Source organism: Homo sapiens, chromosome 1, assembly GCF_000001405.40.
Source record: "Homo sapiens chromosome 1, GRCh38.p14 Primary Assembly".
Taxonomy (NCBI): domain Eukaryota; kingdom Metazoa; phylum Chordata; class Mammalia; order Primates; family Hominidae; genus Homo; species Homo sapiens.
The window spans coordinates 53,196,808-53,224,663 of record NC_000001.11 but is presented as its reverse complement, the minus strand read 5'-3'; the positions used below and the strand labels follow the sequence as shown (position 1 = coordinate 53,224,663).

General features: G+C 45.4%; 2 protein-coding genes and 1 long non-coding RNA gene across 7 annotated transcripts, besides 6 other annotated features; 1 reads left to right on the top strand and 2 right to left on the bottom strand.

Moving 5' to 3' along the window:
- Window positions 1–405: 405 nt before the first annotated feature.
- On the bottom strand, window positions 406–4,304 carry CZIB-DT (CZIB divergent transcript). The gene has a single exon (NR_185918.1). It is a non-coding gene; the product is annotated as a CZIB divergent transcript (long non-coding RNA).
- Window positions 3,699–3,758: a silencer, noted in NCBI's record as "silent region_904". NCBI's record gives its function as "represses an Ori minimal core promoter by ATAC-STARR-seq in GM12878 lymphoblastoid cells {active_cell/tissue: GM12878}" and the evidence as "EXISTENCE:reporter gene assay evidence [ECO:0000049][PMID:35858748]".
- Window positions 3,889–4,258: a silencer, noted in NCBI's record as "silent region_903". NCBI's record gives its function as "represses an Ori minimal core promoter by ATAC-STARR-seq in GM12878 lymphoblastoid cells {active_cell/tissue: GM12878}" and the evidence as "EXISTENCE:reporter gene assay evidence [ECO:0000049][PMID:35858748]".
- Window positions 3,889–4,629: a biological region, named in NCBI's record as "H3K27ac hESC enhancer GRCh37_chr1:53685707-53686208".
- On the top strand, window positions 4,030–10,565 carry CZIB (CXXC motif containing zinc binding protein). 4 transcript variants are annotated; one of them, NM_017887.3, is made up of 8 exons: window positions 4,030–4,094; window positions 4,320–4,403; window positions 5,741–5,797; window positions 6,169–6,250; window positions 6,461–6,492; window positions 7,805–7,882; window positions 8,608–8,673; window positions 9,928–10,565. In NM_017887.3, the coding sequence occupies exons 1-8, from the start codon at window positions 4,089–4,091 to the stop codon at window positions 10,003–10,005; spliced, it is 483 nt and encodes a 160-aa protein (NP_060357.1). In that variant the 5' UTR covers window positions 4,030–4,088; the 3' UTR covers window positions 10,006–10,565. The 4 variants fall into 4 exon arrangements, 3 of the variants coding, with proteins under 3 accessions (NP_060357.1, NP_001291688.1, NP_001291689.1); NM_001304759.2 differs by lacking the exon at window positions 5,741–5,797; NM_001304760.2 differs by lacking the exons at window positions 4,320–4,403; window positions 5,741–5,797.
- Window positions 4,128–4,629: an enhancer, noted in NCBI's record as "H3K27ac hESC enhancer chr1:53685707-53686208 (GRCh37/hg19 assembly coordinates)". NCBI's record gives its function as "activates a minimal SCP1, AML or CMV promoter by ChIP-STARR-seq in naive H9 embryonic stem cells {active_cell/tissue: H9 hESC(naive)}" and the evidence as "EXISTENCE:reporter gene assay evidence [ECO:0000049][PMID:30033119]".
- On the bottom strand, window positions 10,467–27,840 carry CPT2 (carnitine palmitoyltransferase 2). 2 transcript variants are annotated; one of them, NM_000098.3, is made up of 5 exons: window positions 27,569–27,840; window positions 23,865–23,945; window positions 22,235–22,341; window positions 13,345–14,649; window positions 10,467–11,400 (listed from the first exon to the last, which is right to left on the bottom strand). In NM_000098.3, exons 1-5 carry the CDS (start codon window positions 27,718–27,720, stop codon window positions 11,069–11,071), a joined length of 1,977 nt encoding a protein of 658 aa, NP_000089.1. In that variant the 5' UTR covers window positions 27,721–27,840; the 3' UTR covers window positions 10,467–11,068. The 2 variants fall into 2 exon arrangements, with proteins under 2 accessions (NP_000089.1, NP_001317518.1); NM_001330589.2 differs by having other exon boundaries at window positions 13,414–14,649.
- Window positions 18,321–18,521: a silencer, noted in NCBI's record as "peak232 fragment used in MPRA reporter construct". NCBI's record gives its function as "represses an SCP1 promoter by STARR-seq MPRAs in K562 erythroleukemia cells {active_cell/tissue: K562}" and the evidence as "EXISTENCE:reporter gene assay evidence [ECO:0000049][PMID:32103011]".
- Window positions 27,497–27,856: a silencer, noted in NCBI's record as "silent region_902". NCBI's record gives its function as "represses an Ori minimal core promoter by ATAC-STARR-seq in GM12878 lymphoblastoid cells {active_cell/tissue: GM12878}" and the evidence as "EXISTENCE:reporter gene assay evidence [ECO:0000049][PMID:35858748]".

Genomic DNA, 27,856 nt, shown 5'->3' with positions numbered 1-27,856 from the left:
CACCATGCCTGGCTAATTTTTTGTATTTTTAGTAGAGATGTGGTTTCACCATGTTGCCCCTGAACTCCTGAGCTCAAGCGATCCACCTGCCTCGGCCTCCCAAAGTGCTGGGATTATGGGCATAAGCCACCGTGCCTGGCCCCTATTTATATCTTATACTGTCTATGTTTTGAAAAGTTATTATTTTTGATAGGTTCATCTTTTAGTCTTGCTACTCAATATATGAGTAGTTTACACACAATTAGTGTTAAAATCTTTTGCATTTGTCTGTGTAGTTACCATTCCCAATGAGTTTTGTGCCGTCAGACGATTTCTCATTGCTTAACATCCTTTTCTTTCAGACTGAAAAACACTCTTTAGCATTTCTTGAAGGAAAGGTCTGGTGTGTTGACAAAATCCCTCAGCTTTTGTTTGTCTAGGAAATCTTTATTTTTCCTTCATGTTTAAAGGACATTTTTGCTGGATATACTATTCTAGGATAAATGTTTTTTTTCTTCAGTACTTTAAATGTCATGCCACTCTCCTGGCCTGTAAGCTTTCCACAGAGAAGCCTGCTGCCAGACCCATTGGAGCTTCTTTGTGTGTTATTTGTTTCTTTTTTCTTGCTGCTTTTAGGATCCTTTCTTTATCTTTGATCTTTGGGAGTCTGATTATTAAATGACATGAGGTAGTCTTATTTGGGTTAAATCTGCTTGGTATTCTATAACTTTCTTGTACTTGAATATTTATATATTTCTCTAGGTTTGGAAAGTTCCGTTATTCTTCCTTTGAATAAACTTTCTATCCTAATTTCTCTCTACCTTCTCTTTAAGGCCAATAACTCTTAGATTTGCCCATTTGTGGCCATTGTCTAGATATTGTAGGCATACTTCATCCTTTTTTGTTATTTTTTCTTTCAATTCTTCTGTGTATTTTCAAACAGCCTGCCTTCAAGCTCACTAATTCTTTCTTCTGCTTGATCAGTTCTCATGTTTAGAGACCCTGGTGCATTCTTTGGTGTATCAGTTGAATTTATCAGCTCCAGAATTTCTATTTAATTTTTAAAATTATTTCCATCTCTTTGTCAAATTTATCTGGCAGGATTCTGAGTTCCTTTTTCCATCTCTTTGTTAAGTTTATCTGGCAGGATTCTGAGTTCCTTCTCTGTGCTATCTTGAATTTCACTGAGCTTTCTCAGTGACAGTGAATTCTCTGAAAGGTCACATATCTCTGTCACTCTGGGATTGGTCACTGGTGCCTTATTTAGTTCATTTGATTAGGTCATGTTTTCTTGGATGGTATTGATGTTTGTGACTGTTGGTCAATGCAGAGCATTGAATAATTAGGTATTTATCATAATTTTCACAGTTTGGGCTTATTTGTACTCATCCTTCTTCAGAAGGCTTTTCCAAGTACTCAAAGGGAAATGAGTGTTGTGATGTAAATATTTGGTCACTGCAGCTGTAACTGCATTAGGGGGCACCCCAAACCCAGCGATGCTGTGACTCTTGTAGACTCAGAGGTACTGCCTTGATGGTCTTGGGTAAGATCCGAGAGAATTCCCTGGATTACCAGGCAGAGTCTCTTGTTATCTTCCCTTACTTTCTCCCAAATAAATGGAGTCTCTCTCTCCATGCTGAGCTGCCTGGAGTTGGGAGAGGAGTGACACAAGCACCCCTGTGGCCACCACTGCTGGAACTGTGCTGTGTCAAACCTGAAGCCAGCACAGTAGTGGGTCTTGCCCAAGGCCCATGGTGACTATTGCCTGGTTATTGCTGATGTTTATTCAAAGCCCAAAGGCTCTTTAGTCAGCAGGTGGTGAATCCAGCCAGGCTTGTGTCTTACCCTTTGGGGTGGCAGGTTCCCTTCTGGCCCAGGGTGGGTTTAGAAATGCTGTCCAGGAGCTAGGGCATGGAGTCCGGGCTTTAGAAACCTACTTGGTGCTTTATTTTACTGTGGCTGAGCTGGTACCCAAGTTGCAAGACCAACTCCTTTTTAACTCTTTCCTCTCTTTTCCTTAAGCAGAAGGAGTCTCTCCCTGTGGCAACCATTACTGGGAAGGCACTGGGTCACACCTGAAGGCAGCACAGTACTGGGCCTCACCCAGTACTGTGGCTATTACAAATGTTTATTCAAGGCCCAACAGCTCTTTAGTCAGCAGGTGATGAATCCTGCCAGGACTGGGTCCTTTCCTTCAAAGCAGCGGGTTCCCTTCTGGCCCATGGTAGCTCTAGAAATATCTGGGAGATAGAGCCTGGCAAGGGGGCTTCGGGACTCTGCGTGGTGTTTTATTCTACTGTGGCTGGGATGGTATCCAAGCTGTAAGACAAAGTCCTCTTTACTTTCCCCTCTCCTTTCCTCTAAGGGAAAGGAGTCTCTCCTGGAGCCGTGAGCTGTGCTGCCTGGGGTTGGGGGACTGGTGACATAAACACTCCTTTGGCTCCCCAACTGGTATCTCACTAGGCTGTGTGCACCCCAAGTCCACGGGCTCTGAGCTCAGCACAGCACCAGGACTTGCCCAGGAATTGCAGTCTTTGTGGCCTAGACTGCCTTTCGAATTTATTTAGGACCCTGAAGCACTTTAGCCAGTGGTGGTGGGGCTCGCCAGAACCTGACCACTGGGATGGATGATTCCCCTCTGGCTAGGGTTTCTCTAAGTGCTTCCTCTGTGGGCACTAGCTGAATTCTGCCCTGAGTTGCTTTCCACTGTGACAGGGCAAAACTCAGTTCCAATGCAAAGTCCCATAAGCACACAGATTCTCTCTCTATGCCAGGCAGCCAGGTGCTGCCAGAGGATGAGGGAGGGGTGGTGGTAGCAATTCAAGACTGTCTTTCCTACCCTCTTCATTGCCTTGTTCCTTTTTTTTTCTTCTTTTATGAGATAGAGTCTCACTCTGTCACCCAGGCTAGAGTGCAATGGCATGATCTCAGCTCACTACAACCTCCACCTCCCGGGTTCAAACAATTCTCCTGCCTTAGCCTCCGGAGTAGCTGGGACTACAGGTGTGCACTGCCATACTCGGCTGATTTTTGTATTTTTAGTAGAGACAGGGTTTCACTATGTTGGCCAGCTAGGTCTCAAACTCCTGACCTCAGGTGGTCTGCCCGCCTCAGCCTCCCAAAGCACTGGGATTACAGGTGTGAGCCACCGCACCCAGCCATTGCCTTATATCTTGATGTGACGTTACAACCAGCTACTGTGATTGCTACCTGAGTTTTGGTTCTCATGAAGGTGCTTTCTTGTGTGGATAGTTGTTCAGTTTGGTGTTCCTGCCAGGGAAGAGGAGGAGGAGGATCACTGGAGGGTTCTATTTGGCTATCTTGCCCCACCTCCTAGAAGAGTCTTGAATGTGCTGTTCCTTTTACCGTTAATCTCCACAGCTCCTGCATGGTCTCAGATGTAGCCTGGACAGGAGGCCAGGTAAAATAAAGTTCAATAAACGTTATGAGAGAAGGATAAGCCAGGTGGGCTCCCAAAAAAGAGCCAGCTGAAGGGGAATGTCCAGTCGCAAGGACCACAGTGAGAAGGATGTGGACACAGGGCAAACTCTGGAGAAGGGCCTAGAAACCAGGTCTCTTGGGTGAAACAGGAAAGGGCAGTTTGAAGAAAGGCATCATCCCCAAATCTGATAAACCAATACATTCTACTTTTTAAAGCGTATTGGTTTATCTTTATTTGGCAGTCTTGGAACTCTTCCTTTTGTAGCTTTTCCCCTGGGCAGAGGGAGCTGACGTGATCTGAGAAGTTCCAGGGCAGGCAGAGTAGTGAAGAGCCTGGAAAGAACTGAGGGTCAGGAACTGTCCTGTTCGCTTAAAGCAGGCACAAAATTGGCGTTCAGTAACTGTCTGTGGCACCACCGAATCCTGGAGTCAGGCTTCCGCTGGCCTGAGCACAGGTTGCTCGCGGACCTGGCTGACCTCCACTGGCCCCAGATCCCCAGATGCGAAAAGCCCAGTGGGCCAGGCGAGCAGCGGCGCGCAGAAGTCCCTGCCCCGCGGCCCGGCCCCGGCCCCGCCCTACTGAGGGTGCGCAGACGGCACCCGCCTTTTACGACGCGCCGGAAAGCAACGGCAAGGGCCGCAGCCAGCACCGGGCGGAGAGGGCTACCATGGGGGTGAGGGGAGGCCGCCCGCCGCGGGGACACGGAGGGGAGGTGGCGAGGGTCTGGGAGGCAACAGCTCGCGCCAGGAGGAGATGAAGCGAGTGGGTGCGCGCTGAAGGAGCAGGAGGCAGAAGGAGTGTCTCCCTGTGGCACCCACGGCTGGGAATGCGGGAGGGTCGGGCAGGCGTGGGGCTGCGCAGGCACGGCTGACGCAGTCGCTCTGGCCCTCCCCCTCAGAAAATCGCGCTGCAACTCAAAGCCACGCTGGAGAACATCACCAACCTCCGGCCCGTGGGCGAGGACTTCCGGTGGTACCTGAAGGTGCGGCCGGGGCGGGGCCCGGGGAGAGGAGGCCCGTCCTGATCTCAGTGCTGAACCGGAGCCTTCTCTCCGGCAGTATGAGAAAATATTTAACCAGGCACATTAAGTGTTCGGGGTTTTCCTAGTTAGAATTTTACGTTTGCTTTCTATTAAAGTGTATTGGTTTATCTCTAATTGGCAGTCTTGGAAAGCTTCATTTTGTAGTTCTTCCCTGTGTTAAATATTTCGTGGTCTGTAAATGGACACTAAACGAAATGCTACTTGAAGGGACGCTTGTGATTATTTAATAAGGTGAATAGTTCGCCTTTCGTTTATTGATTTGGTTTTCTTTATTGTGAAATAGTTTAATTTTGTGCGTAATCCACCCTTCCTTAGCCCTCCCACACTGGTAAAGCTGGTACCCTAGTGGCATGGTCTACAGAGGCCTCCCCTTCCCCAGCAGTTCGAGGCTCTTCACTCTTCCAGATCCCAGAGCTTCTGCTCTGTTTTACTCCTGGTCAAAAATCCCAGCATCCTTCTGTACCTCTCAAAAGCCCTGTTTTTCGGGAAGCTGCCTCCGGACTACTTTTGTTTCCCAGGATTTTGAAGCCTGAATACCAGGGCTTACTTGGGAGAATCTGTTCTTTGGCTTGAAGAAGCGGAATCGAGTGAAGGAGACAGAAAAATAGAGTAACAATAGAGTGATAAGTGCTTATACCAGTGACATACAGGGCCTGTGGGAACATAAAGCTAACCAAGCAGAGTGGGTCGGGGGCCTGCTGAGGCCATTTCTCTTTTTTTTTCTTAATTGACACAGAATTGTACATATTTATGGGGTATATAGTGATGTTCCGATAAATGTAATGTATTGTGATCAGATCAAGGTAGTTAGCATATTCACCTCAAACGTGTATCATTTCTTTGTGTTGGGAGCATTTAATATCCTAGCTATTTGAAACTATATATTATTGTCAGCTATAGTCATCCTACAGTGCTATAGAACACTAGAACTTATTCCTCCCATATAGCTGTAATTTTGTATCTTCTAACAAATCTCTCCATATTCCCCCCCCTCACCTCCGCTGAAACCATTTCTGCACCACAGGTGCCTTGAATCCCCGGCCACACTGAGCACTTCATAGAGGAGGGTGGGCACGCCGGCATAGGAAACAGCCTTACCTATCCTTTGCCCAGAGATAGTTCTAGTTTTGTCCTTGTTGGGGCAGGTGTTAGGGATGAAGTGAGATTGCCATCAAGAAGGTAGATCATGAGCCTGCCCACCTCCCACTGTTCTTACCCTTTCCTTGGTGTCTGTGCAGCAGAGCCAGCTGCTTTACTAACATTCTTTTTCCCCAAAGATGAAATGTGGCAACTGTGGTGAGATTTCGGACAAGTGGCAGTACATCCGGCTGATGGTAACTGTTCCCCGCCCAACCCCCAACATAAACACTCACAAACACACATACACTTCTGGGCAGGGATTTGGGGAAACTGGCCTTCATCTCTCCAGTTCTTTGCTCCCTGCTTTTTGTGGTTTGGGAGGGTAGGTGTCAGTGTGATCAGCACTGGATTCAATAGGCATCTTTGAGGTATGAGGCAGAGTTCAAAATCAAGGGGAAGCCCTTTTTTTATTTTCCTCAGGAAGCCTTCCCAGGAGTCTTGTCCTAGTAAGTTACCCTTTCTGGGTCTTGGTCTCTTTAAGTGGACAATAAATGGTGGGCTCGATCTCCTCAGGACTGTACATCTAATTCATATGTGACTGAAAGTTCTGTTTGCTTTTTGCCAGGACAGTGTGGCACTGAAGGGGGGCCGTGGCAGTGCTTCCATGGTCCAGAAGTGCAAGCTGTGTGCAAGAGAAAATTCCATCGGTAGGTCAGGCTGTGCGTACTGAGTTCTGCCAGGGTGGCCCACAGCTTCCTGGCACCAGGCTGAAAGTAGACTCATGTTACCTGAGGGTGGAGTCAGGCCTAAGATGCCGACACCTGTACAGCGTGATCTTTTTCAGGGCCACATGTGGGCACCTGGCTGGGGCGAGGGTATGGACTCAAGTCAACTTTGTGTTCTCTTTTCTATTTCAGAGATTTTAAGCAGCACCATCAAGCCTTACAATGTAAGTTTGCTGCTGTAGTGGCAGGGATGGTGGGCTTAAATCCTAACTGGAGTTAGTAGGTCTGGGTTCTAGAGTCATGCCTGCATCAGAGTGACCTGCCATAGGACATTCACTCATGAACTTAGTTCTTCTTTGACTCAGTCATTTATCCACTGTACACTGAGTGCTTGGTATATTGCCTCTTGCAGTGCCTTCTTATGAGGGCTGGGCTGTGAGAGCTCAGGGGACCTCTGACACAACCTAGCTGTTCAGTTTGCATCACTGAGAGCACTTGCCTTGTCTTCATTTTAGGGGACTAGCAAGCTTTCTCTGAAACCATGGGTGGGGTAGTCGTTTGGTGCATCCCATCCTTTATATCATCAGTGTTAACAAGTTAGCCCAAAGGTGAGGGAGGGTGTGCTTTGGATCTGTTTGTTTAAAGAAAGCCAGTTATATGTATTCACCTATTCCTTATTTGGTATTTATTTAAAGTATCTTGAGTTGTGCCAAATTCTTGGCTTTGTCCTGAAGTTAAAGAGAAATTAAATGAGGACTCGCCTTCACGTACATAATAATCTAGTGGAAAATACAAAAAACAAGAATCGAACTAGGGCCCTAACAGAGAAGTGCCTTACCAGTGCCAGAGATGTGGTCAGTGTGCAGGAAATTACTTTACAGTGAATGACAGGATGAGACTGAATGTAGGGCATGGCACTTGTGGTCCCTAAGCCCATAGGTCAGGTAGGCATGAATTTCCTGGCCACCTGCCCCCCAAGAGGTGCCCCCTCCACATACATAACCATTTCAAAGGCTATAAGACAGCCCTCTGCCCTTACTGCATGGCAGATGGTCAGCAAAAGGCTATGGTTAAGTGTACTGGGTCTGTTTGGATGATCTAGAGACTTTGGAGCTTAACATTCTTGTTCATATTTTTGGTGTTGATAATTTTATTTACTATTTATTGAGCACTGTGCTGGGCACTTTATATGCATTTCAAAATCTGACAGTAAAATTGTAGAGGTTTCCTCGGCTCTATTTGACAGTTTAGGAATCTTGGGCCCAGAGGGGAAGATAGGCAGAGCTTACCTTACATCCAGGCAGGTTGACCCCAGCATCCACGCTCTTCTGCAGCCTCCATGTCTGCTGTCTACAGAAAGCTTCATAGGGAGCAGGTGCCCAAGGCAGGCTTCCTCTAAGAAGGGGATGAGTTCTTCCTGGGTCTCATACTAGGCCTCCAGGGGCAGTAAGTGCCCATTTGGCAGGAAGGAGAGGGGCCATGGGGTCATCCTGAGAGCTCATTTGGGCCTGCCTCCTCAACACACTTCCTTTCTAGGCTGAAGACAATGAGAACTTCAAGACAATAGTGGAGTTTGAGTGCCGGGGCCTTGAACCAGTTGATTTCCAGCCGCAGGTGTGTGTGTATCTTTCTGGGGAATCTTTGTCTTTGGGGAGGGGATGTATGAAGTGACAGCCAGAACTGTGCTACCTACAGATACCATGGACTAGACATTCTCCTTTCTAGCGGTAGTAATAATTGTCCCTTAAGTGGCTGCTGTATGCTTGGGCACCCATGCCATCATTTTTACATGTTACCACATTTAATTCTTATGGTAACCCTATGAATTTATTCATCCTGTTCTTCAGATGAGGAAGGAACTGAAGAGATTTTGCAACTTGCTCAGGGTCACACAGTAAGCAGTGGAGCTATAGTTTCAACCCAGATCTATCTGACTTGAGCTGGTGCTCATCCCCCTTTATTTGTGCATGTTTCACCTCACAACAAATCTGTGAGGTAGGCAGAAGAGCAAATACTTCATCCCCGTTTTATCAATAACTAAGGTCCAACCTGGGAAATGACATGCCCAGGAGCCTTCAGCAAACCAGGGCTAGTGGAAGGGATTACGCTGCCCCTGCTGCCTTCTGGTCCAAGGCTGTAATTCAGAGAAACCACCACTCTAGTTCTGAGGCAGCTGCCGGGTCCTGGAAGCTCAGCAGTTATTCCAAGACAGGTACTCATACTGCATCTCTGTCCTCCATCCCAGAAGTGTGAGAAGAGCCAGCAGCCTGGCCGGCCCTTACTTATAGCCCAATGCCTTCTTTTGCCAAGACTAACTGGTACCTTCTTGTGCCCTGCAGGCTGGGTTTGCTGCTGAAGGTGTGGAGTCAGGGACAGCCTTCAGTGACATTAATCTGCAGGAGAAGGTATGAGACTTGGGGGCTTTGGGAGGTACTGTAGGGCACCTGGTGGGAATTATTTTTTTGGTGGACAAGGCTCATCAATGGAAAGCCAACTCTGTATTTTTGTGCTTTTTGTTAGTGATTTTGCTGTTGAAATGGCCACAGGTATAGTGCTAAAGTGCTTTCTAATGTTCCTACGTATGAGAAAGCTATGATGCCCCTTACAGAGAGAATACGTGTTAGATAAGCTTTATTCAGGCATGAGCTATAGTGCTGCTGGCTGTGAGTTCATGAATCAACAATATATATTAAATAAGTTATCTTTAAACAGAAACACATAAAGCTAGATTATTGATTGGTTGATGAAAATGTGACCAGAGGCTCATAGGAACCTAACCCTGTATTTCCCCGGGGAGTATTCATTCAGTATTCCCTAATTCAGTGTTTGTGGTGGCTTTACTGCACCTAACTACCATGAAGAACAAGAAATAGTCTGTATTACTGGACATATTACTACCCTGCAGATAGAAAAGCCTTGTGCTCAAGCCTTGAAGGAAGGACAAAAACTTCATTTCATTTGCTCAGCACCTAATAACAGCAGCTAGCATCTACTGAGCTCTTACATGTGCCAGGCACTCACTATGCTGAGTGCTTTTATTTTATTTTATGTATTTTTTGAGACAATCTCACTCTGTCGCCCAGGCTGGAGTGCAGTGGTGCAATGTCAGCTCACTGCAACCTCTGCCTCCTGGGCTCAAGTGATCCTCCTACCTCAGCCTCCCAAGTAGCTGGGATTACAGGCGCCTGCCACCATTCCTGGCTATTTTTTGTATTTTTAGTAGAGACCGGGTTTCACCTTGTTGGCCAGGATGGTCTCGGACCCCTGACCTGAAATGATCCACCTGCCTTGGCCTCCCAAAGTGCTGGGATTACAGGCATGAGCCACCACGCCCGGCTGCTGAGTGCTTTTAAATGTGTTACCTCATTTGATTCTTTCAACATTCAATATGAACTCCATTGTCCTTTTTTTGTTTTTGTTTTTTTTAAATAGAAGACAGGACTCGGAGAAGGGACTCAGAGAAGTTAAGTGATTTGCCCACAGTCATACAACTGAAAGAGCTAGAATTCAGGCCTGAGCTATCTGGCTCTGTTCAGGGTCATACATGTTCATGATTATTTGAGTCAGAGCCTGAGCTGGGCCTTTTAAGTCCCAGTTTTCTGCTCTCCACATGGCTGCATTCTGCGTTGTGAGGCTAACAATGCCATTTTGTTTCCCAGGACTGGACTGACTATGATGAAAAGGCCCAGGAGTCTGTGGGAATCTATGAGGTCACCCACCAGTTTGTGAAGTGCTGATCCCTCTTCCTTCCCAGTTGCCCTTAAGAACTGAGAAAGGACAAAGTACTCTAAGCAGCAGAGCCCACAGAGGCTCGTTCCTTTGACCCTTGTCTCCTGGTGGCTATACGAAACCTTCACAATCTGCATGCTGGACTTTATTACAGCTTCCCAAGCCCCATCAATAAAGCCCCTGTTCACGCTGCACTGGTGCATGAAGGTGAAGTAAGGAGGCAGCTACTCCCTCCACAAATAAGAATTCGTGCAGCAGCAGTTCACTCCTTAGGAAAATGAAGAGTATTTTTAAGGAGATGGTATCTCCCCAGTCAAGGGCAAGTTTACAGAGATGAAACCGCGATCCCACCATCACTCAATGAGCCAGAAGCCAATGGTGACGTACTGTTACCTGAACTTACTGAACTTGCTGTTGGAAAGATCTTTGTGAGGATTAGGAATTAGGTTAAAAGAAATTAAGAACCATCTTCAAGCAAAAATTAAACTTTATTTCTGCTTAAACAATAAATACACCTGAGTTAGTTTTCCAAACCTTTCCTCCTGATTAAATGCCCTTAAAACTTAAATCTCTTGTTATCTTCAGTTGTGATCTAGTCCCAAGTGGAAATTACGTTTAGCTTTAAAACCATGAATTTAAAGCTCAAGCCTGTAGCTGGCTGCCTAGGCAGCTTATGATTAGTTTCACAGAATAGCACCCACTGGCTACACAGGCCCCAGTTTTTTTTTCTTTTTTGTTTTTTTGAGACAGTCTCGCTCTGTCGCCCAGGCCGGAGTGCAGTGGTGTGATCTCAGCTCACTGCAACCTCCACCTCCTGGGTTCAAGCAATTCTGCTTCAACCTCCCAAGTAGCTGGGATTATAGGCACATGCCACCACACCCAGCTAATTTTTGTATTTTTAGTAGAGACAAGGTTTCACCATGTTGGCCAGGTTGGTCTCAAACTCCTGACCTCAAGTGATCCACCCGCCTCAGCCTCTCAAAATGCTGGGATTACAGGCATGAGCCACCATGCCCGGCCTCCCAGTTTTCATGATGAGGAAGTGATGGTAGCTTTTCATCTGCCCAGAAGTTAACTTTTGATGGATTTGCCTTCTAAGGCATCAAACATGTCTTCTAAGGCCTTCTCCACACATTGGAGAAACTCCCGGGCATTGCGGCCTGGGTAGGAAGAGACATTGCAGCCTATCCAGTTGTCATGAACAGCATACCCAACACCAAAGCCATCAGAGACCACAGGGGCAAAGCCCCCAAGGTTCACTGCTGGGCTGCTCAGTGTGCTCGTGGACAGGACATTGTGGTTTATCTGCCCGTATGCAGGGTCCAGGTAGAGCTCAGGCAAGATGATCCCTTTGGCTGCTGCCAGATGCCGCAGAGCAAACAAGTGTCGGTCAAAGCCCTGGCCTGTGAGAAACAAAATGGAAAACCAGAGTCTCAGGATGGAAAAGGACCTCAGGAAAACCTCCCAACTCACCACATGGTAGGAATACCCCTCACAGCATCCTTGAGAGTGGGGGAAGGCTCTACCTCTATGCACACCACCAACTGACTAACCTTCAGAGCAGCTCAAGCTAGATTATTTTAAATTATTTAGGAAATATATTATGTCATGTTACATTTAAAAATAGCTGTCAACAGCTGAGCTAAAAATGAGCCTAAAAGGAAAGCATAATTTTAAAGATGTGAAATCAGTTTAGTCAAAGAGTCAAGACAGTACAGGAAGACAGCTATGGACTCAAAAACTACAATAAAACTAAAAGTCTGATTCAAGTGTAAAAGAGAAGATTGAGTCAGTGGAACAAAATGGAAAGTCTGTTTGACCAGGGTTCGAATCTCAGTCTTACTACTAACTTGCTGTGTAACGGGGCCAGTGGCTTGGTTTTCTCCCTATAAAATGGAGGAAGAGAAGATTAGAATGTCTTGGAGGTCCCTTTCACTTCCAGCACTTCATAGCAACATGAAAGGACAACTATGACCCTCCAGGTCCTTTCCAGGTCTTGAATTTTATCAAAAAAAGGTAATGACGGATGACAATTGAGAAGAGCTTCTGAGATAACCTGTTTACAGAGAGCAGACACATTACAACTGAGGTGAAGCTAGTGGGGCCGTAAGTTTAGAAATCCTAAATTTTCAAAAGTGAGTCTGATAACCAATCAGTAATAGAAAAAGGTTGGGTGCAGTGGTGCATGCCTATAATCCTAGTGCTTTGGGAGGCCAAGGCAGGAGGATTGCTTGAGCCCAGGAGTTTGAGACCACCTTGGGCAATACAGTGGGACCTCATCTCTACAAAAAATTTTAAAAATTAGGCCCGGCATGGTGGCTTACGCCTATAATCCCAGCACTTTGGGAGGGTGAGGCGGGTAGATCATGAGGTCAGGAGTTTGAGACCAACCTGGCCAACATAGTGAAACCCCGTCTCTATTGAAAATATAAAAATTAGCTGGGCATGGTGGCATAAGCCTGTAGTCCCAACTACTCAGGAGGCTGAGGCAGGAGAATCGCTTGAACCCAGGAGGCAGAGGTTGCAGTGAGCTGAGATTGTGCCACTGCACTCCAGCCTGGGCAACAGAGCAAGAGTCCATCTCAAAAAAAAAAAAAAATTAAAATATCAGCTGGGCATGGTGGTGCATGCCTATAGTCCCAGCTATTTGGGAGGCTGAGGCAGGAGGATTGTTTGAGCCAAGGAAGTTGAGGTTGCAGTGAGCCATGATTGCACCACTGTACTCCAGCCTGGGTGACAGAATGAGACCGTGTCTCCAAAAAAAAAAAGGCCAGGTGCGGTGGCTCACGCCTGTATTCCTAGAACTTTGGGAGGCTGAGAGGGATGGATCACCTGAGGTCAGGAGTTCAAGACCAGCCTGGCCAAAATGGCAAAACCCCTTCTTTACTAAAAATGCAAAAACTAGCCAGGTGTAGTGGCGGGTGCCTATTATCCCAGCTACTTGGGAGGCAGAGGCAGGAGAATCACTTGAACCTGGGGGTGGAGGTTGCAGTGAGCCGAGATCACGCCATTGCACTCCAGCCTGGACGGAGGGAAACTCTTGTCTCCAAAAAAAAAAAAAAAAAAGAAAGAAAAAAGAATTAATGCGTCACAGCTGAAAGTGACCTTAAATGAGGACAAAGACACATGCATTTCCCCACCCCTGCTTAGGAGGCAAGAACATTCTGATCCCTAGTGGCTAGTGTGGCTGTTCAGACTGCTAGGGTAGAAAAGAAAAATTTGGGGAGTTGGCGATGGATTAAACCTAGTGAACGGGTAGAAATCAGATTTGGAGTAGAATGATTTAGGCTTGCTTACCCAAGCACTGAGGACAAGACCCAAGGGCATGCTCCCCACCCCTGCCTCACCCATTGCTGCTTCTTTGGTCAGCTGGCCATGGTACTTGGAGCACTCAACCATCATCTGCTGAAGCTCACCAGCACTGTGCCTGGAGGGCTCCCTGACAAAGGCCTCAGAGCACCTCTTTGTATAGACGGAGGCCGGGCGGATGGTCTCAGTGCGGCCGTGCTTGAATGCGGCAGTGCTACAGGACTCGTAGGTGGCCACTGTCTGCCCGTACTGCCGCAGGAAGGCCATCTGGAATGCCAGCTGGGCAACTGCGTCAGGGCTCAGCTTTTGCTTCTTCAGGAATTCTTTGCCTCCTCTCTGAAACTGGACGCAGTCAATAGTGAGGGTTTTCATGGTGGCATCAAACTTTTCCTTAGCAGCTGTGATGCCAGTCTTTAAGGCATCAGTCAGCTCGAAGTTGAGTTTCTGCACCGTGACAGTAGAGTCAGTGGTAGCTGGCTGGCTCTGTGGAGTGACGGCAGGGGTCTGAGTGCTGTCTTTAAATACTTCATTAAAAAATCTGAGCACTGCCACACCATCACCCCAAGAGTGCTCAAAGTGGACGGCAGTAGAGCCATCCTTGGCGATAATGAGGTTAAAGGATTTATCAAACCAGCGGTTTGTGCCATCCCCATGCAGCATATTGTGGGACAAGTGGACAAGGTCCTTAATGGGGAAGTCATCTAGGCAGAGACAGAACACTGCCGAGTCCACTTTCCTCAGGCTCTCCTCATTGCCACTACTCATCAGCTTCTGCCTGAGCTCTGCCCAGATGTCTCGGTTCTCACTGGTCAGGTATGCCAGGGGAAACTCGGGGGCGGGGCTGCTGTCTGAGAGAATGTACTTCAGATGTGCCTGGATTTCCGAGGGGCTCACAATGTTCCCATCTTGATCCAGGACATCAAAGATATAAAAATTTCCTTTCCTTAGGACCAGGAGGTGTCTGGCCTTGTCATCAGTGAAGAGTTCATCCCGACTGGGTTTGGGTAAACGAGTTGAGTTGAAAAGCCGAAAATACTGGGACATATCCAGGGGATACGCATTGACCAGGTAGGCCCCATACCAGGACAGAGAGGAAGGCACAAAGCGTATGAGTCTCTTGAAGGTGATAGTGTCACTTTTTGCAGGGTTCAAGTGGAACACTTCTGGCTCCAGAAGGCCAGCCCGGAGTGTCTTCAGAAACCGGATGGCAGAAACAGTCATGTTGGTTGCCCGGGTGAGCTGGTCATTATACTCAGATTTTGGGTCAGGATTGAAAGCCATAAATGGATTAAAGTTCAGAACAACGGAGTCTCGAGCAGATAGGTACATATCAAACCAGGGTCCTAAAAAATAAAAAGAAAAAAATAACATAAAATGTTAATGCTGTCCCTAAAAATAAAATTTGAAGAAGAAAAAAAATTCAAGCATAGACAAAGGAAATGGCATCAACCTCCAGAGAGAAGAATTCCCTGAATGTTTTTGCTCTGCAATAATTCAAGACATACAAATGGGGTCATACAATATATGGTGTTTTGCATTTAGCTTCTATCACTTACAATAATGTTTTTGTTTTGTTTTTTTGGGACGGAGGCTCGCTCCTGTCGCCCAGGCTGGAGAACAGTGCTGCAATCTCGGCTCACTGCAACCTCCGCCTCCCGGATTGAAGCGATTCTCCTGCCTCAGCCTCCTGAGTAGCTGGGATTACAGGCGTCCTCCACCATGCCCAGATAATTTTTGGATTTTTAGTAGAGACAGGGTTTCACCATGTTGGGCAGGCTGGTCTCAAACTCCTGACCTCAGGTGATCCACCCGCCTCGGCCTCCTAATAATGTTTTTAAGGTTCATCCATGTTGTAGCATTTAAGTTCTTCATTTCTTCTTAGCGCTGAACAATGTTCCATTATATGGATATACTATATTTTGTTTATCCACTCATCAGGTAATGGACATTTGAACTGTTTCCACTCTTTATTATGAATTACATTGCCTTTTTTTTTTTTAAGAGACACAGGATTTCTATCATCCAGGCTGGATTGCAGTGGTATGATCATGGCTCACTGCAGCCTTGAACCCTGGGCTCAAGCGATCCTCCCACCTCAGCCTCCCAAGTAGCTAGGACTACAGATGCACACCACCAGCCTGGCTAATTTTTTTATTTTTGGTAGAGATGGGGTCTTATTATGTTGCTCAGGCTGGTTTCAAGCTCCTGGCCTCAAGTAATCCTCTCACCTCAGCCTCTTAAAGTGCTGGGATTACAGGTGTGAGCCACTGCACCTAGCTATTAAGAATTATGTTGTTATGAACATTCTTATACATGTTTTTGTATGGACATAGCTAGGAGTGGAACTACTATCACATGGTAAGTCTCTGTTTAACCTTTGAGGAACTGCCAGGATGTTTTCCAAAGTGGCTGCACCATTCCCACGAGCTGTCTGTGAGGGTTCCAATTTTTCCACATCCTCAGCAGCACTTGTTACATGTCTTGTGGCGTGGAGATATTCTGGTAGGTGTAAAGTAGTATAGCATTGCAGATTTGGTTTGCATTTTCCTAATGTTTATTAATTGCTTTTTCTTCCTCTTCTGTTTCCTTTCTTGGTTTAAAGGAATAAAATATGGTAACACTCCACTTGCATTCATGCTGGAACAGAATAGTTAATTCCCACCCCATCTCTTTAGGTTTCTCTTGCTTCATCTCCTTTCAGGGGCAACAATCATACTTGATTGCTCCCCGATAAGGGGGGAACGTCTTCATTGTCCTTCTATGTACAGTGTACATTTGTACACTCCCTGTTTAGAAAGTACTAAAAAAGCTATTATAAATATCAGTGCATGGATCACTCAGACTAGCCCTCTGAGTTCCTATAGATGTTTTACCTGTAAAAATTCCAGAAGCAATATTTTATCAGAAAATATGTCAGGGAAAGTTCCTGCTGGGATTAGTAAACATGAATAAACTCTATAAATAAGGACTATCATTCAGGCAAATAATGTTCATATGTATAGCACTGGGAAAAGGATTAATAGATGCAGATTTCTCTGTTACTCATTTGTTGGTCCATCCACTCATTCCATCCCTTGAGAATCAGTGCTGTGCCAGGCCTTGGTCCAGGGGATTTAGAGAGGAATAGGACATGGTCTTTGATTCTGAAAAACTCTGGTGAAGGAGGCAAATAATTAAAACATAACGCAATGCACTAAAATGGTGAGAGAAAAGTACTGGTGGATAAGATATATTTGATGAAAGAAGACATAAATTCATGCCTCTGACCCCCCTTTAGCAAAAGAATTTCAAAGAGACATAAACCAGTCAGGCCAAGAGAATGGGAGACGAGAAAACAAATACTGGAAGCTGGAAAGCACTTATGCAACTGGTAATGACTAAAGCAGACTCAAGAAAGCCAATCCTAAATTGGCAGGAGAGAAAGCCAAGAAATCATATGATTTGCACAGCAGAACCCCCAGAGGGCTCAGTAATTGGCAACCTAGATACATCTGGTTGAAGGACTATTCAATTATATCACCACTACCACAACCTGAGATTCCCTCCTCACTCCTGTAGAAGACTTAAGTTTTACTCTCTGGAGATAATAAAACTGGGGGCTGGGTGCAGTGGCTTATGCTGGTAATCCCAGCAATTTGGGAGGGCGAGGTGGGTGTATCATGAGGTCAGGAGATCAAGACCATCCTGGCTAACATGGTGAAACACCGTCTCCGCTAAAAATACAAAAAATTAGCCAGGTGTCGTGGCACGTGCCTGTAGTCCCAGCTACTCAGAAGGCTGAGGCAGGAGAATCACTTGAACCCAGGAGGCTGAGGTTGCAGTGAGCTGAGATCGCACCACTGCACTCCAGCCTGGGTGACAAAATGAGACTCTGTCTCAAAAAATAAATAAATAAAATAAAACTGGGAGACCTGAATCACAGTTGAGATCTCAAACCTTCTTCCCTTACTTACCCTGCCTTCTACAACACTAGCAACCTTTTGGCAGTTTACTGGAAAAGCCTCCCTAGGGAAGCTAACCCAACTACACTACCATTAGGGGCAACCCAGGGAAGCAGTTTAGCTGGATCACTGTATTAGTCTGTTTTCACACTGCTATAAAGAACTACCTGAGACTGGATAATTTATAAAGAAGAGAAGCTTAACTGACTTAGTTCCGCATGGCTGGGAAGGCCTTAGGAAACTTACAATCATGGTGGAAGGCAAAGGGGAAGCAAGGCACATCTTACACAGCAGCAGGAGAGAGAACAAGCAAGGAGTAGGAACTGCCAAACACTTTTAAACCATCAGATCTCATGAGAACTCACTATCACAAGAAAAGCATGGGGGAAACTACCCCATGATCCAATCACCTCCCACTAGGTCCCTCCCTTGACACTTGGGGATTATTACAATTCAAGATCAGATTTGGTTGGAGACACAGAGCCAAACCACATCATTCTGCCCTGGCCTCTCCCAAATTTCATGTACTTCTAACATTTCAAAACACAACCATGTCTTCCCAACAGTGCCCCAGAGTCTTAACTCATTCCAGCATTAACTCAAAATTACAAGCCAAAGTCTCATCTGAGTAAAGGCAAGTTCCTTCTGCCTATGAGTCTGTAAAATCAAAAACCAATTAGTTATTTTCAAGATACACTGGTGTTACAAGCATTGGGTAAATGCTCCCATTCCAAAAGGGAGAAATTGGCCAAAACAGAGGGGCTACAGGCCCCACGCAAGCCTGAAATCCAGCAGGGCAGCCATTAAATCTTAAAGCTCCAAAATAATCTTTGACTCCATGTCTCACATCCAGGGCATGCTGATGTAAGAAGTGGGCTCCCAAGGCCTTTGGTAGCCCTGCCCCTGTGGCTCTGCAGAGTACAGCCCCATGGTTGCTTTTACAGGCTGGCATTGAATGCCTGTGGCTTTTCCAGGCACATGGTGCAAACTGTCGGTGGATCTACCATTCTGGGGTCTGAAGGGCAGTGGCCCTCTTCTCACAGTTCCACTAGGCTCCCCATTGGGAACTCTGTGTGGGGGCTCTAACCCCATATTTCCCATCTGCATTGCCCTAGTAGAGGATCTCCATGAGGGCTTCACCCCTGCAGCAGACTTCTGCCTGGACATCCAGGTGTTTCCATATAGCCTCTGAAATGTAGGAGGAGGTTGTCTCTTTTTTTTTTTTTTTTTTTTTGAAATGGAGTCTTGCTCTGTCACCCAGACTGGAGTGCAGTGGTGCTATCTTGGCTCACTGCAAGCTCTGCCTCCTGGGTTCACGCTATTCTCCTGCCTCAGCCTCCCCAGCAGCTGGGACACAGGTGCACGCCACCACACCCGGCTAATTTTTTTTGTATTTTTAATACAGACAGGGTTTCACCATGTTAGCCAGGATGGTCTCGATCTCCTGACCTTGTGATCCACCCGCCTTGGCCTCCCAAAGTGCTGGGATTACAGGCGTGAGCCACCGCACCCGGCCGGACGAGGTTTTCAAACCTCAACTCTTGTTTTCTGCACACCTGCATGCCCAACACCATGGGGAAGCCTCCAATGCTTGGGGCTTGCACCCTCTGAAGCAATGGCCAGAGCTGTGCCTTGGCCCCTTTTAGCCATGGCTGGAGCTGGAGTGCCTGGGACACAGGGCACCATGTCCCGAGGCTGCACAGAACAGCAGGGCCCAGGAAACCATTTTTCCCTCTTAGGCCTCTGGGCCTATGCTGGGAGGGGCTACTGTAAAGATCTCTGAAATGCCCTCAAGACATTCTCCCCATTGTCTTGGCTATTAACATTTGGCTTCTCATTACTTATGCAAATTTCTGCAGCTTGTGGCTTGAATTTCTCCCCAGAAAATGGGTTTTTCTTTTCTACTGCATGGTCAGGCTGCAAATTGTCCAAACTTTTATGCTCTGCTTCCCTTTTAAACATAAGTCCCACTTTCACATCATCTCTCTGTGAATGCATATGACCATATGCTTTCAGAAAAAGCCATCTTGAATGCTTTGTTGCTTAGAAGTTTCTTCTGTCAGACACCCTAAATCACCCCTCTCAAGTTCAAAGTTCTGCAGATCTCTAGGACAGGGACAAAATGCCACCAGTCTCTCTGCTAAAGCACAGTAGAGTGACCTTTGCTCCAGTTCCCAATAAGTTCCTCATCTCCATCTGAGACCACCTCAGCCTGGACTTCATTGTCCATATCTCTATCAGCATTTTGGTCAAAACCATTCAACTCTCTAAGAAGTTCCAAACTGTCTGACATCTTCCTGTCTTCTTCTGACCCCTCCAAACTGTTCCAACCTCTGCCTATTAACCAGTTCCAAAGTTGTTTCCACATTTTCAGGTATCTTTGTAGCAATGCCCCCCTCCTGGTACCAGTTTTCTATATTAGTCCATTTTCACACTGCTATAAAGAACCACCTGAGACTGGGTAATTTATAAAGAAAAGAGGTCTAATTGACTGACAGTTCCTTGTGGCTGGGGAGGCCTCAGGAAACTTACAATCACAGCGCAAGGTGAAGGGGAAGCAAGGCACATCTTATGTGGCAGCAGGAGAGAAAGCGAACAAGTGGGGGAACTGCTGAACACTTTTTAACTATCAGAGCTCGTGAGAAACCACTAACTATCATGAGAACAGCATGGGGAAAACTGCCCCCATGATCCAATCACCTCCCTCCAGGTCCCTCCTTCAACACGTGGGGATTACAATTCAAGATGAGATTTGGGTGGGGACATAGAGCCAAACCATATCAATCACATTAGAGCAAAGCCTGTAACTGACAAGCCTCACCCCCATCCACATAGCTTCCAAGAGCTTTTTAATATCTCACTCATATCGAAGACAACACAGGATTATGAAGCATCTGAAGAAAGAAAAGGGCAAAGCAAACAGAAGAAAAGCAACTTGGAGGCAACAGACTATGAAGAGAGAAGAGATCTTAAAAAAAAATTATCAGAGATAAACTATTTTTAAAAAGAACACCATAAGAAGAAAAAAGAGCTTGTGGAAGTAAAAAATAGGAAAGCAGGAGTTTTAAAAACAGGTTGAGAGATTAAAATTAAGTAAGTCTCCCAAGAAAATGTAACAAAAAGAGTAAGAGATGAAAAATGTGAGAGAAAAGAAAATTAGAGGATGAGACCCAGAAATTCTACACCTGAATAATAATAGAGTTCCACAAAGAAAAAACAGAGAAAAAAAATGGAGAGGAAGAAAGCCAAAGAAATAAAACAAGGAAATATCCCAGACCTGAAGGATGAGATTCCAGATTCAAAGGACTCACAGAGTGGCCCAACACATACTAAAACACATTACCTGAAATTTCAAAACACTGGGGACAAAGAGAAAATTCTAAAAAGCTTCCAAAGGCAGAGAGAAGAAGTAGTCAAAAGATTAAGTCTCAGAATAACATTAGATTTACCAACAGCAACACTGGATGCTAAAAGACAATGGAGCAAAGCCTCCAAAATTCTGTGGGAAAATAATTTCAAACCCAGCCAAACAAATTATCAATGAAGTATAAGGGCCATTTTAAAATTTTTGCTTCCCATATTCTGTTTCCAGATAGTACAGGGAATATGTGCTCTGATTTAAAAAAAAAAAAAAAGAAAAAGAAAAAGCCAAGAAATAAGAAAATATGAAAGACAAGAAACACGAGTCCCAACATGAGAGAGAGATGACAGATGCCCCAGCTGATGGTGAAAGAGCACAGGAGAGCAGCTTCACAGTAGGCCAAGAGGTTCACAAATCCAGACTACAGCATGTCGCAAGTTCTGGAAGAAGTTTCGTCAAGAAGACCAAAAGGGATAGAATGTCCAATCTGCTTTCATGTATTGAGAGGAGATTCAGACAGCTTGGGAAGAGTCTGGGGGTAAATTAGTAAGCACATAGAAAACTAAACAAGAGAAAAGATGGAACAATTATTAACTTCAGAGAAAACAAAAAGTTTGTACTGGAAAGGAAAAACAATCCCAATATGCTACATGAGTCAGCTGACAATAGTGTTTCTATGATCATAATAGCATAAAACTAGATACTGAGTTACCCAAAATTACAAATCCCTATGCTGTGAAAATAAGGGGATAGGAAGTATGTGTATACACATCCCACATATGTGGTGGGATGTAAAGTACTGCTGAATTCTAATCTTCTACAGTGAGATGTCAATAGCTAATGACTAAAGCAAAAAAATCAAGATGCAGTAAGGTAAGTATCTAATTTAGAGATACGGGGGTATATAACAAAAGATTTAGGAGCTGAAAGTGAGAAGTGGGAAATAAGATGATGAGGAAGTTGCTGTTTTTCCTAACAAGCCTTATAGAACTGTCTGATTCTTTAAACTATATGCATGTATAACCTTGGTAAATATATAAACTAAATTAAAAGAAGTGCTGTAGGAACAGAGGTGGAAGCAACCAACTCTGAATGGAAAGGAAAAAGGACTGAGAAGGTTTCACAGAAAACCATCCTCCTTGGATCTTAAAAGAAGAATTTGCCAGGCAAAAAAATGGTAGTGGGAACAGCATGGATAAAGGCACAAAAGAATGAAAGACTAAGGGTTCAGGGAGCAATGAGGAGTTTAGCAGGAAGTATGTCAGGGTGGGTGGTGAGAGAAGAGGCTGGAGAGGACAGTTCTGTCTGACAGTGAAGGACCCAGAATGATATAGGACATAGGACTTAATCCTGCATCCTTTTCAGACAGGACCATTGATTAGGTTCTGCCTCAATCCCATCTACAGAGAAGGCTGGCCATCATTCTTGAGCATGGGCTCAAGTCAACACCTCAGTAGAGGAGGAACACACTCAGCCTTAATTTACCTCAGGAAGGGAGGATGAGACGTTACTTCATTTGCTGGTCTCACCAAAAATATCTCTGAGACCAAAACAGGAGAGAATATGCCTTACTTTTCATTATGGAGGGCTCTGGGAGAAATCATACCCACAGCCCAGCCTACCTACCCGAAATGTAGCTTGTATGTTTATTCTGTTTGTCCAGAGCAACCAGCTGCTCATGCAGTTCTTTTCCAATCCCATTTTCAAAACTCTTGCAAAATTGTTCTGTTTTCCTAAAACATTCAAGAAAAGACAAAATCAAACCATGGTAGGGAATACATGATTTTTAGGTTCATGGCGAGGAACTCATAATAGAGTTTTGGGTCCCCAACAGCATAGCCCTAAAACCTGGAATGAGATCAGAAAGTACCTCTAACCAGAACAGGAATCAATCTAAAATTGATAATCTAGACTACCTTCTTAAAATGAATGATTAGGAAAATCAATCAACATCTCACAAAATAATCCATATCCTAGGAGGCAGTTTGGCATGGAGAAAAGGACACAAGCTCTGGAGTCAACAGAAGTTAAGTCTGAATCCTAGCTCTGTTGCTTTTCAAACTGTGTGATCTTGGATAAGTTACTTGATCTGAGTCTCGGTTTCTTGATGTGTAAAATGGATAATAATACCACTTTACAAGATTAAAAATATTTATAAAGCTAAGGATTTAGAATATCCTAAAACATAATACTCAATAACTGGTAGCTATTACCATATCAAGAGAAACTTTAAATGACTAATAACAAATATTTGAAAACAGAGGCCTAGATTATGGATAATTCATCTGCTTCTCCATCACTGTCCAGTGAAGAGTTCTGTGATTCCAACAACAATGCCAGTTACCTGTACAGAAAAATTTCCATTATGGAAAAAGAGTACTACACTAGGCTATAAGAGCTTAATGCAATCCACTTTTTGACAATATTTGATATTATTTTCCAATTCCATGCTGTATTTGCTTCCTAGGACTGCTATAACAAAACACCACAAACTGGGTGGCTGAAAACAACAGAAATTTATTCTCTCACAGTTCTGGAAGCTTTAAGGACAAAATCCAGGTGTCAGTAGGACTATATCTTCTCTGAAGACTGGGGAAGAATCTGTTGCATGGCTTTCTCTTAGATTCTGGTGTTGCCAGCAATCCCTGGCATGCCTTGGCTTGTTGACACAGGCAGAGGACACAATCTCTGCCTGTGTCCTCACACCGCTGTCTCTGTGTCTTCTTACAAGGACACCAGTCATATTTAATTAAGGACCCACAATACTCCAGTAGGACCTCATCTTAACTAATTACATCTGCCACAACCCTAATTCCAAATAAGATCATATACTAAATTTCATGAAAAAGGGCATAAATTTTGGAGGCATGCTATCCAACTCAATAAACATGCTCACGATGCAGACTTCTGGTCTGCCGTATGGTCTCCTCAATGGACCTCCCTTCCAAGGGTACATGCTCTCTATAAATGACCAGGACCAGCGAGCCTCCCAGGTACACCTGCTAAGGGAAAGTACACATTTGGCATTCTGGCTTATAAACTATCTCCTGTTGAGCCTGTTTAGAGGAACTCTCGGGGCTTGGTCAGTCCTTCATGAATGAAAATCTATTTCCTGAACTTGCAGATGTACAACTAGGTTCTGGGTTCCTGGAGACCCAGCCACGTCACAGACATTCCCTGAAGCTTGGTCCACCACTACTTGCCAGCCTGTCTTGAACCACCCCAACTATGCTCACCCAAGGTTCTCAGTGTTTACCTGAACTGGCCATCATTCAAGAGAGGCTTCTGTGCACTGAGGTATCTCCTAATGGTGTCTTCAAGTTTGGGAATAGGCAGCCTGGGGAGAAAGCAGGGTCAGTGTAAGGCTGACAGTATATGGAAGAGGTTAATTAGCTTTACAAGCTAATGAACTGATTACTAGATCATTAATTTCCTCCCCCAAAACCAATAATCAGAAGCGACTGACAAATCAGAATCAATGGGTTTACTAATGCCAAGTATATCAATGGTAACTCTACTTTTAAGTAAAATAACAACTAAATCTTTAAGTAAAATACAAATATAATTATTTTAAATAACAATAATAGATTCAAAATGGGGAAGCAGAAGCTGCCCCAAGAATTCCTGTTTTCTGGTCACAATGATAACACCTGTGCTAACACTGTATTGGCCCTGATTTAATTCTACCCTTAGTTTGAACAACTGCATTTTTCTCCCCTAGGATAAAATGAAAAGGTTCTATTTTTTAAATTTTCTTCTGCATTTTACAACAAATAATTATATAAGAGTGAAACACAGATCTGTCCAAGGGCCAGCCATATATGGGGGCTACAGTCACTAAAAGGTAGGAATCGACCAGTGAGCCATGCCCAGATACCAGGAACGCCATTAGGAAGAACCAAATAGTCCCTGTGCTTAAATAACAGGAACAGCAATTTGCCTACTTATCATTCTGTCTACTAGTGATTCCCAAAGATGGCTATGGTGATGAAGTTACTGGCTTATTGTGAAATGAAAACACATGGACAGTAAAGTGAGGTGTATTTTCTCTTTCAATTCATTGGTTTTATTGAAGGAAATATCCCCTAATAGCAAAACAATCAGAGTTTGTTAGGCTGCCTCTACCAACTCAAAATTAACACTGATATGCAAAATACTGAAATGTATCAGTCATTTAGGAAAACTGAAACATGATACATAAAGCAGTTTAAAAGCCTAATATAAGATATACTGTGGTTCATCAGTTTATTTGTAATGCATGTTTATCCATAATATGACAAAAATAAATCAATTATTTACTGCCATTATGGACTTAGACTGCACTAAGTACCCATTTACAACACTTTAACACCACAGATCCCCTTACATTCACTGACTTACTCAGAAAAATTCCAAATACTATCTCAGCTACCTCATAATTCCAGTTGCCTACATATGTTTAAGATTTAGTTTTATTACAGTAGGAATATTCATGAAAGTTTACCTTCTTCCTTTTAAACAAAATTCTAGATTAGAGACAATGGCAATTTGATTTAAAAAAGTCCTACTTAAAAATTTCTGGAGTGAAGCTGGGCACGGTGGTTCACACCTGTAATCCCAGCACTTTGGGAGGCCGAGGCAGGCAGATTGCTCGAGTCCAGGAGTTCAAGACCAGCCTGGGCAACATGGCGAAACCCTGTCTCTATAAAAGATACAAAAAATCAGCCAGGCATGATGGTGCATGCCTGTGGTCCCAGATGGGAGGCCAAGAGCAGATCACTTGAGGTCAGGAGATTGAGACCAGCCTGGCCAACATGGTGAAACTCCATCTCTACTAAAAATACAAAAATTAGCTGGGTGTGGTGGCACATGCTTGTAATCCCAGCTACTTGGGAGGCTGAGGCGGGAGGATCCTTTGAACCCGGGAGGCAGAAGTTGCAGTGAGCCGAGATAGGGCCACTGCACTCCAGCCTGGGCAACAGAGCGAGACTGTCTCAAAAAAACCAAAATAAAACTGTGGCTCAATGAAGTGAACAGAATTGCCCCAAATTATAGCTAAAGACTTGCAGATCCAGAATCTGCAACTACATTCTACCAGACCTCAAAGTCAGGGCTTTTCACCAAGTGTGACATCAATGAGTGAGTGTGAAAGATTATACATTTTACCAGTCTAGAATCTGAGCGACAGAAGGAATCTCATCTCTCATCTAACTCCCAATTTACAAATAAGGTAATGGAGGTCTGGGGGAGGTTGGTTGCTTAAGGTTATGCGTAGGTGACTAGTGGTACTATTTGAACTGGAGTTTGAATTGGTACCTCCAGATTCCTACAGACTGTGCTATGGATGGGGTTGGAATAAATAATCTTGAATATTCTTTCCAGCTTTCCAATTCTAAAGTGCAGAAAATCCCTCTGATCTTAAACCTGGGTGGGGCCCAGGCCTGCCTGAAAGTCAGTGACCATCTGACTCTGAACTTGGCAAGTGAAGACAGGTTCTGTCAGTCCTCACCTTTCACCCATATACTGGCTCAGCTCATACACACAGGTTGACAGGGTGGAAGCATGTACCAGGCTTATGCCACAGGCACAAAGCCCCTTTTTCTTCCTCCCTCCTGCCACGTGTAGATAATCTCATTTTCATGTCTTAGATGTTTGCACAAAATGTAATTTCACAAGAATCACTCGATCCTCCTGAGAGGGTGAGGGTATGTAGTGATGACGTTGGGTTAAGTGGTCCCAGATGCAGAGAAAAACAACCCAGCAGCTCGGGTGAGGCCTGTGACACAATGTTCCACACATGGGGAAGAAGCCTGGCCTCTAGCTCTTGGAGTGTGGGGAATCCCTGAGGGCAGTTTGGTGAGAAATAAGGTGAGAAGGGTCTTTGAGACAAATTTTGAACTTGGCTCCAGGAACTGAGTTACTCACTCAGTAAGTTAGAAGTTAGTTTAGGTTTGGTTTAGAGGGTGAAGAAAATTTCTAATATTGAAGAAGGAGATCTGGCAACTCAGACGAAAGCGGAGTTCGAAGGCTGGAAGAACTGGAAGCTGGATTTAAGAAAGTACTGGGGGAGGGAAGGGGAAGAGGATTTACTAGGGCTCTTTTCAGAGGGGAAGTCGATTCTGGGTGAAGTGTTTCGAAGGCAGGGTAGCCAGTGGTGAGGAGGAGAAGAGAAATTTGGGTGGACCCTGGATCTGAGTATGATGGAGTGTGGATGGGGTACTGAGGGTGGTGTCTAGAATTCTGTGAGGGTGAGCTGCACTTACAAGGGGTACTGTGGGTGAGGAAGGATATTTTGAGGGGAGGAACCTGTTGAGGAGGGCTTGGAGAGAGTGAAAGGTTTCCGGGTGAACACTGGATTTAGGAGATTAAAGATTTAAAAACATGGGGGAGGGTCAGTTGAGGACAAGGGTGAACACTTCAGGGCTGTGCTTGTGGGGGCTCATGGGGGGTGAAAGAACAGAGTACTGGAGAAATGGGAGGTGGGGCTGAGGGTCCTGAGTGACAGGGGTGAAGGCGGTGCTGGGAGAAGTTAAGGAATGGTAACCATGATGTATTAGGAATCAGCCTACCCATATTCCGGGTAGGAATGTGAGGCAGTCATTAAAGTACTTCAGGAGACACCATAGTCGAGGGATTACAGCGGCGCTGGAAATATGCAGGTCTGGCATTTTTCAGGGAGAAGAGGACTCAGGATAGCTGGCTGGAAGTTAGGTTAAAGGAGAGGGAATCTGAGAAGCGTTCAAGATGGAGAATCTGAGATAGCATCGAGGGGTTCTGGAAGAGAATTTGAGGGTTCTGAGGTTCCTGTGCTAGGAGATTGTGAAAAGTCCCAAGACTTCCAGATTAGGGGCTGTGGCAGCCTCCATGGTAGGGGCTTGGGGGCGGAAACGGGTTCACTAGAGGAGTCATGAGTGACTGCAGTCAGGTTGGGGCCGATCCTGGGACGGCGGCGGGCGGCGGGGACCCGGAGGCCAGGCTCACCTGGGCAGGCTGTCCTGGTAGTGCATGGTGGGCACGATGCTGCGCTGCAGGTACTGGCCGGGCCCGGAGCCGGCGCTGAGGGGCCGACTGGGGGCTCCCGGACCAACCGCGGGGCCCCGGGGCCAGGCGCGCAGCAGCAGGCGGGGCACCATCGTCCCGGGAGCCTGCGGCGGCGAGAACGCGGCAAGTGGGGAGTTCTGGAGTCTAAACACAAGGCCGCCGCCGCCGTTAGCGCCCAAGACACTGCGTCAGGACTCCTGAGGCACTTCTCCGCCCGCAGGCCACTTC

Coding starts and splice junctions, on each gene's coding strand:
- CZIB (NM_017887.3), top strand. Junction 6,493..7,804: donor GCACCATCAAGCCTTACAAT/GTAAGTTTGCTG, acceptor CTTCCTTTCTAG/GCTGAAGACAATGAGAACTT. Junction 7,883..8,607: donor CAGTTGATTTCCAGCCGCAG/GTGTGTGTGTAT, acceptor TGTGCCCTGCAG/GCTGGGTTTGCTGCTGAAGG.
- CPT2 (NM_000098.3), bottom strand. CDS start 27,720: ATGGTGCCCCGCCTGCTGCTGCGCGCCTGGCCCCGGGGCCCCGCGGTT. Junction 23,946..27,568: donor TACCAGGACAGCCTGCCCAG/GTGAGCCTGGCC, acceptor CTTTCTCCCCAG/GCTGCCTATTCCCAAACTTG. Junction 11,401..13,344: donor GACCAAAGAAGCAGCAATGG/GTGAGGCAGGGG, acceptor TGTTTCTCACAG/GCCAGGGCTTTGACCGACAC.